The sequence below is a fragment of the Homo sapiens genome, chromosome 10 (assembly GCF_000001405.40).
Source record: "Homo sapiens chromosome 10, GRCh38.p14 Primary Assembly".
NCBI lineage: Eukaryota > Metazoa > Chordata > Mammalia > Primates > Hominidae > Homo > Homo sapiens.
The window spans coordinates 45,082,266-45,090,708 of record NC_000010.11 but is presented as its reverse complement, the minus strand read 5'-3'; positions in this window follow the sequence as shown (position 1 = coordinate 45,090,708).

Genomic DNA, 8,443 nt, shown 5'->3' with positions numbered 1-8,443 from the left:
CCCGAACACAGTGCAGAAAGATGACACACATTAACATCCACAGAGAATGACTGAGAGGATTTAAGTGTCCAACAGGAATTCTCCAACAAGGAAACAGACAAAATAGTGAAAAAGCACTATTCAGAATTTAAAATTTTCCAGATTTGAAAAAAGACATGAATCCTTAAATGGACAGTACACCCCAACTACCCATCAGGATAAATAATAGTAAAGCCATTCCCAGAATTGTCACAGTAAAACTGCAGAACATGAGGAATAAAAATAAAATGTTTACAGCTACCAGAGAGAAAAGACAGATTATCTGCAAAGGAACTACAGTTAGAACAACATTGGAACTTCTCATGAGCAACAATAAATGATGGAAGACAATGAAATTATATCTTCAACCTGATAAGAAAAATTTGTAACTCTCAACCTGAAGTTTTATACACAGATAAACTATCAACTCAAGACTAATGGGGGGTGGAATCTGTGTTTAGAAAAATCAAGAGTTAAATACCCATAGACCCTCACTAAGAAAATAATTAAAGGATTATTTCAGGGGGAAAAAAAGTAAGCTCAGAGATATATGTATATAGAATTTTAAAAGTAAAGGTGATTAGGAAAAAAGGTAACAAGTTTTAGTAAACGTATTTAAGTGAAAAAAAATATTTTTTAAAAAAGAAACTAAAAAGAATGCTAAGATGGATACAATAATCCATGGATGGTTGATATGTGCCCATGTCACATTCAGGGGCAGGAAGGAAATACTATGTTAGAAAAATGTACAGCTAATGGTGTTGGTTAAAAAGTTAAAAAACCGAAAAATGGAAACAGAAAAATGTACAGCTAAGGGTGTTGGTTAAGAAGTTAAAAATAACTGAAAAATGGAAACACAATGTGTAGCTTCCAAATCAGTACAGATTAAAAGGGGGAACTCTAGAAAACTTTGTCCATCCAATAGAGAGCTGAAAAGTGAAAACAAAAAGGCAGATAAAGATGGTATAAAGAAAATTCAAGCTGGGTGCGGTGGCTCATGCCTGTAATCCCAGCACTTTGGGAGGCTGAGGCAGGGGGATCACTTGATGTCAGGAATTTGAGACCAACCTGGCCAACATGGTGAAACCCTGTCTCCACTAAAAATACAAAAATTAGCTGGGCATGGTGGTGCGTGCCTGTAATCCCAGCTACTCAGGAGGCTGAAGCAGGAAAATCACTTGAACCCAGAGGCAGAGGTTACAGTGAGTTGAGATTGCATCAGTGCACTCCAGCCTGGGTTACAGAACGAAGACTATCTCAAAAAAAAAAAAAAAAAAAAGAAAAGAAAAGAAAAAGAAAAAATTCAAAATAGAGTGGTAAAAAATGTATCAGTAAGTACATTAAATGTAAAAGTATTTATCCATATATTCAAAGGTAGAGATTATCCAATGATTTTAAAAATAGGCCAGAGGTGGTGGCTCACACTTATAATCCCAGCACTTTGGGAGGCCAAGACAGGAGGATCCCTTGAGGCTAGGAGTTCAACACCAGACTAGGAGACACAGCAAGACTCCTTCCCTACAAAAAATTAAAAATTAGTTGTGTGTGGTGGTGCACAGCTGTGTCTTAGCTGTTCAGGAGGATAAGGCAGGAGGATAGCTTGAGCCCAGGAGGTAGAGGATACTGAGCTATGATCACACCACTGCACTCCAACCTGGGCAAATAGTTAAGACCCTGTTTTTGAAAATAAATAAAATAAAATAAAAACTCCTGCTATATGCTACTTGTATGAGAACATCTAAAACAAAATATCTTACAGGATTAAACATAAAGGAGAAATAATATGCCACGGAAACACACATGTTAAAGACAAACCTATTACAGCAATGTTAATACCAGGCAAACTATGAATTAAGAAAAAAAGAGTAAGAAGAGACAGAAGGGGGATAGAAAGAAATGGTTGTATATAATTCTGCACTCAAAGAATTAGCAATATACATTATTTTTATGTCAAATATTTTTAATAGTGATATCTTAGGTTACAAAGGACATCTCAATGAAGATCAAAGATTTAGTATAATATAAACCACATTTTCTCATCAAAATGTAATCAAATTTTGTAAAAATATACAAAGATGGAACCAAAAAATATGTGATTAGAAACACATATTAACTCATAAGTAAACTCATAAGTAAATTAACTCATAAGTAAAACAGAAATTCACAATAAAAATGAGTACTGTTTAGAACTAAACAATAATAATGAATTAACTACATATGAAAAATTATGAAGCCATAAAAATATTTAAGTACAAAATTATAATGTTAAATGTATTAATGTATAAAATATGTAAGATGAAACATAGATAGGTTAAGCATTAAGCATTCAACTTGGATGCTTGGTGGGAAGACTATATATAAGAAGGAGGAGGAAATAATAAAGATAAGAAATAAAATAATAGCAAAAATGTAACATAAGGTAATCTAAAGCTGACTATTTTAAAATGATCATGACAAATCACTTGAAAGACTGGTTAAGAAAAAATTAGAAAATATATATTAATAATATTAAGAATAAAAGGAGGCCATGATTATAGGCATAAAAATTTTAATTGAAAGAATTCACTAAACAATTTTATAAAAATAAATTTTAAAACTTGATAAAATAACCTTTTAGAAAATAAAATTACCAATTGTATTTGGCTGTTCTTGTGTTGCTATAAACACCTAAAACTAAACCATTCATGGGAACTCTTCCCCCATGAGCCAATCACCTCCCACCAGGCCCCACCTCCAACACTGGAGATTATATTTCAACATGAGATTTGGTGGGGACACAGATCCAAACCATATCACCAATATTGACTATAGAAGAAATTTATAACTGAATAAATCAATAATCTATTTTAAAATTAAATTAGTAGTCAAATCTTCATCTCTAAGAGTCATCAGACCCAGAGAATTTTAAAGGAGAGTTTTACCAAACATTGGTGGAATAGATAATTTCTCTTTTACTGTTTCTAAGTTGGAAGAGAAGAAAAAGGTACCTTTTGGGGGTATTAGTTAAAACCTTGATACTCAAAAGAGACAGGATCAATACCATAGAAGAAAGTTACAGATAAATCTTGTGTATGTACATACATGCAAAAATCCTTAAAAATTAATTTTTAAAAAGCAAACCAAATTTACATGTTTGTAAAAGTAATACACCATACACCATGTAGTGGATCATTTGAGGTCAGGAGTTCGAGACCAGCCTGGCCAATATGGTAAAACCCCATCTCTACTAAAAATACAAAAATTAGCTGGGTGTAGTGGTGGGCACCTGTAATCCCAGCTACTCGGGAGGCTGAAGCAAGTAGAATCCCTTGAACCCGGGAGGGGGAGGTTGCAGTGAGCCAAGATTGCACCACTGCACTCCAGCCTGGGCAACAGAGCCAGACTCTGTCTCAAAAACAAACAAACCGAAACAAAACAAAAAAACACTAGATGAAATTCAACATATTTTTATTATTAAAATATATTTGAAAACTAGATAGGAATAGGACAATTCTTAAACTAAAATACCTCGCTACAAACCTACACAAATGTTGCACTTAGATTTGAAATTTAGAAAATTTTTATTCAAGTCAAGAACTTTCTAGTTACAATTTGTATTTAACACTATATTGAATGCCCTACTCAATGCAATAGGACAGGAAAATAAATACTATGAAAATTAGAAAGAAAAAGACAAACTTTGCCTTTATTTGTAGGTGCTATAATTGCTCACAGAGGAAGTCTAAAAGACTAGAGTTATTATTGTAACTCTTTCAATACAGAAATTTTGCAATAATGTAGGTACATTGACAATCTTCAGCTTTGATCCTATAGTTGTTATATATATATATATGGATTTATAAACAGCACAAGTCATTCTTATAATTTATGCCTTAAATAAGAATATGTACTTTCAAGTAATTAGGAGGAAAATATAGACTTGGAAATTTATCTATTATTTTAACTATTTCTCATGTTCTTCTCTCCTTCAGAAAGATCTGGTATCATTTCCTTTAAGCATGACAAACTTCCTTTAGCATTTTTATAACTGAAACATTTCTTGAAATTCAGCATTGCTAGTTCTGCTGGCAATAAACTTCATTTCTTTCATCTGAAGAAGTTTTAGTGTTGTTATTACTCCTATTGTTTTCTCTGGATATAGAATCTGGGTTGACAGATTTTTTTTGTTTTCTTTCAGCACCTTACATATGTTATTTCACCAACTTTTGGACTCTGTTGTTTGATAAAGTCACCAGTCATTTGAATGATTGCTTCCTATAGGCAATGTATCATTTTTCTCTGTTTTCAAGACTTTCCCTTCATCTTTGATTTTCATCAGTTTGACCATGATGTGCTTAGGCATGTTTTTCTGTCAATTTATCCTACTTGGGATTTATTGAAATTCTTGAGTCTGTAAATTTGTATGTTTTATCAAATTTGGAAACCTTTCTAGCATCATGACTTCTTTTTTTTTTTTTGAGACAGGATCTCTGTCACCCAGAGGGATCACAGCTCACTACAGCCTCGACCTCCCAGGCTCAGGTGATTCTCCCACCTCAGCCTCCTGAGTAACTGGGACTACAGACATGCACTGCCTTGCCTGGCTAATTTTTTTGTAATTTTGGTAGGGACTGGGTCTTGCCATGTTGCCCAGGCCTGGTATTGAACTTCTGAGCTCAAGCAATCCACCCATCTCAGCCTCCCAAAGTGAGCAAACACGCCCAGCACATTGTCTTTAAATAATGTTTTCTGTCCATTATCTCTCTTCTCTACCTCTGGGACCCCAGTTATGCATATGTTACATATCATTCTTTCTTCACAGTTCTCTGGGGCTCTGTTCATTTTTTCTCTTTTCTCTCTGTTCTTCATGTTGCATAGTTTCTATTGATCAATCATTAAGATAACTATAATTTCCTGTCATCTCCATTCAATTGTTAAGACTATCTAGTGAGTTTTTAATATATTTGATTTTTTAGTTCTAGAATTTCCATATTTCTGAATTCTTATTCTTCTGCTGAAATTTCCTCTGCCTTTGTCCATTCTGCGCATATTTTCTTTTACAGCATTGAGCATTTTTATAGTTGCTGTTTTATACAGTTTGCCTGATAATTTCAAGAGCCAGGAATGGTCCTTGTTGATTTTCTTTTCTTAGAGAATGGGTCACATATACCTGAATCTTTGCAGTCAGATAACACTGGATTTTATCCTGGACATTGTGAATATTAAGTTATGGAATCTCTGGGTTTTATCATTAGTCCTTCAAAGAATATGGATTTTGTTTGTTTTACAAGGTAAAAACTCTGTGTGTTTGATAGCAACTCAAATCTCAGTTCACTTTTTGTATTGTTAGTTGAGCTTCTCAGAGTCTGCCTCACATATAATATGGCTCAAGTGTTAACCAAGATTTGGGCAGAGTTTATGCAAACAATTTGGAGATTCCCTTTCTGGCTCTCTGCTCTCTGAGATTCCTCCTTAACTTTCCAGAGACTGTTGTTGCCTAAATTTTTCCTCTGGTTCTTCATGCCAGAAATACTATAGATTTCCTCTTGGAATTTTAGCTGCCTCACATGCTGCAGAATCCCCTGAGGCATTTCAGTGCCTAAAAATGAGGCACTCATCTAGAGTCATTGCCTTCTTTCAAGCATTAACTCCCTTTCATAATATTCCTACTTTGGTTCACCTTCCAGTGCCACCTCTGTTTTCTCTTTTTCCTTTAATTTTCCTTCTCTTTTGTTTGTCTGTTCAATGTGTATAGTTATTAAAGGTGAAATCTCAGCCTGATATGAGCTTACTTGGCTATTAGTAGAGGAACTAATATTTTTAAAAACTTACAAATTGTTTGAATATATAAGAGTACAGTAAGGCACTAGATACAAAGTCAGCATCATTTAAGTTCACACCAGTGATAGCCACTTAAAATGTAATAGAAAATATAATTTTTTAATTCCCACAGAAATTTTCTATCAAAATTAGAAATACCTGGTATTAATCCAAAAAACAAAAATATAAAGAACTTAATAAAAAATAATTATTAACAGACATACAAGAATTTTGGAATAAATGAGAGAGCAACTATATTTATAGAGAGAAAAACTCAGAGTAAAGATATCAGTTCTTTAAAAATTAATCTATAAATTTAAAGCCATTCTGATTAAAAGCCCCAAAGAGGTTTTCATTGACAAGCTGCTCCTTAAACTCATATGGAGAACAAACGTCAAGAGCTAGAACAAACAACAACTTATGATGTAAAATACCAAGACATTTTATGAAGTTACATGTTCTATAGTAGTGAGACCTACAAGTAAACCCATGGAAGAGAACAGAGAGTACAGAAAGAGAACCACACATATATGAAAACTAGACATATAGAAAAGGTGACAATATAAATTAAGAGAAGGAGAAAGAATGAAAAACTCAAATGGTACTAGAACAATTGATGATTCATAAGGAAAATGGAGTAAAATTACATCCATACCCCAAAATAAATTCAGTTAGATTCAAGACCTAAAAGTGAAGTATCGGACTCTTAAAGATTTAGAAAACAATATGGGAAACAACTTAGAATAGCATCTTGGGTAATGATTTCCTAAACTAGACAATGAAAAATACAAACCAGAAATGAAAACATGGCATCCTTTCACTAAATTAAAAGTTAAAGCCTATTGTATGTCAATAAACATCATAAACAAGATAAATCACTGACCTGAAGTTATTTACTGTGCATACATACCTTTGTTTATTACACTGTATAATTTTCATTATGTTTGAAATACAATATTTCAACACTGTTATTTTGAAGATCATTCCATTGCCATTCACTTTTCTTAGAAGAAAGACAAAAACCCCAAGCTGCTCTTCTTCCAGCTGTTTTCTTTCCAGACTCCGTTCCCCGCTGTCTGTGACTTTTCCTGTTTTGGGGCCTTCAGATAAGTTGTGCTATTCCTTCTAATGAAAACACCTGCCCCCCGCTTCACTTAGTGAACTCCTCTTTCACCATCAAGCTCAGATGTAATCCTGCCATAATGATTTTTCTTGCCCATCCACTATAACACAAGTTAGTCCCCTGTTACAAACTCTCACACACTGTGAACTTCTCTTTCATTGTCATAAACGTTAACATTAATTATGTGTGCATTTTTTTAATGTCTGCTCTGTAAATTTCATGAAAGCAAATAAAATGTCTGTGCTATTCACCACTTAATCTACCACAAGACTTGACACATAGTATATGCCCAGTTGATATACTGGGGAAAAAAGGGCAATAGAGGAAAGAGAAAAAGGGATAGGAAAGGAGGGAAGGAGAGAGGGGATGAGGGAGGAAAGAAGGAAGGAAGGGAAGGAGAGAGGGAGGAAGGGAAGGAGGGAGAGAGGGAGGAGGAAGGGAGGGAGGGATGGTGGGTTCTGGCCATTATGAACTGTTGGTTGGGGATGGTGAGATTGAACTGGGAGTCCAAAAAAAGTGGAAGAGGAGAGACAAAGATGAAGCAAGATTATACCTAAGATAGCTTCAATTTCTTAAACTCTATATTGAAAGGAGCTTGGGGGCTGATTTCTATTGGCATTGGCCTACATGCAATTTTCCAGTGTTCTGTTATTTACAATTTCTGACCCATAATTATATACTTCCATCAGGGGCCCAGTTGCAGGAAGTCATGATTAAGAGTTCCTACTAAATTGGCCCCTTGTATATTAGTCACTATTTTAACATGGAGTGTAACAACATATTCGACAGTGTATCTGTATATTTAAAAGGGGGAAAGGAGTCATTCTCTGTTAATACGAGGCATTAGTTCTGCAAATGAAGCAATTAATTTAAGTGGATCGGAGTTTTTAAAGATTGGATCCACTAAAACACACACATACACACACACATACATTCATCAGCACTTTTACACACTAATACTTATGCTCATACTCACACACTCACACACACACACCATTTAATTTGTTTCTAATGCAGTAAATACCTATTAGAAAATAAACCTAAAGAAAGCTATTTTTGAAGGGTGTAAAATTCATTTTGTATTTTGAAATAAGAGGACAAAGGTGATAATAGTGATGATGATGATGATACATGTAGACACAGAATAGTGACTAATATTTAGTGCATGTTTACCATGTGCTAGGGATTATACTAAGTACTTTACATGCAATAATTATCTTAAGTAATCCTCATAAGACCTTATGAAATAAATAATTTTATTACTCCCTTGTACAGTTGAGAAAAGTAAGGTATTCTTACCCAAAAGTTATCTAACTTTAAAGCCTATGATATGCCTAGCCACTTGGCTAATTGTCTCACCTGCCCCCACCACATCCCCAAAATTGTTACTCATGTGCCACATACCACATGCCACAAACATACGCACACACACAGCTTAAAGTTCATTTTCACAAATATATAGTGGAAGCCAGATGTAGAAAAACTTTCATTCAAATGCTTAAA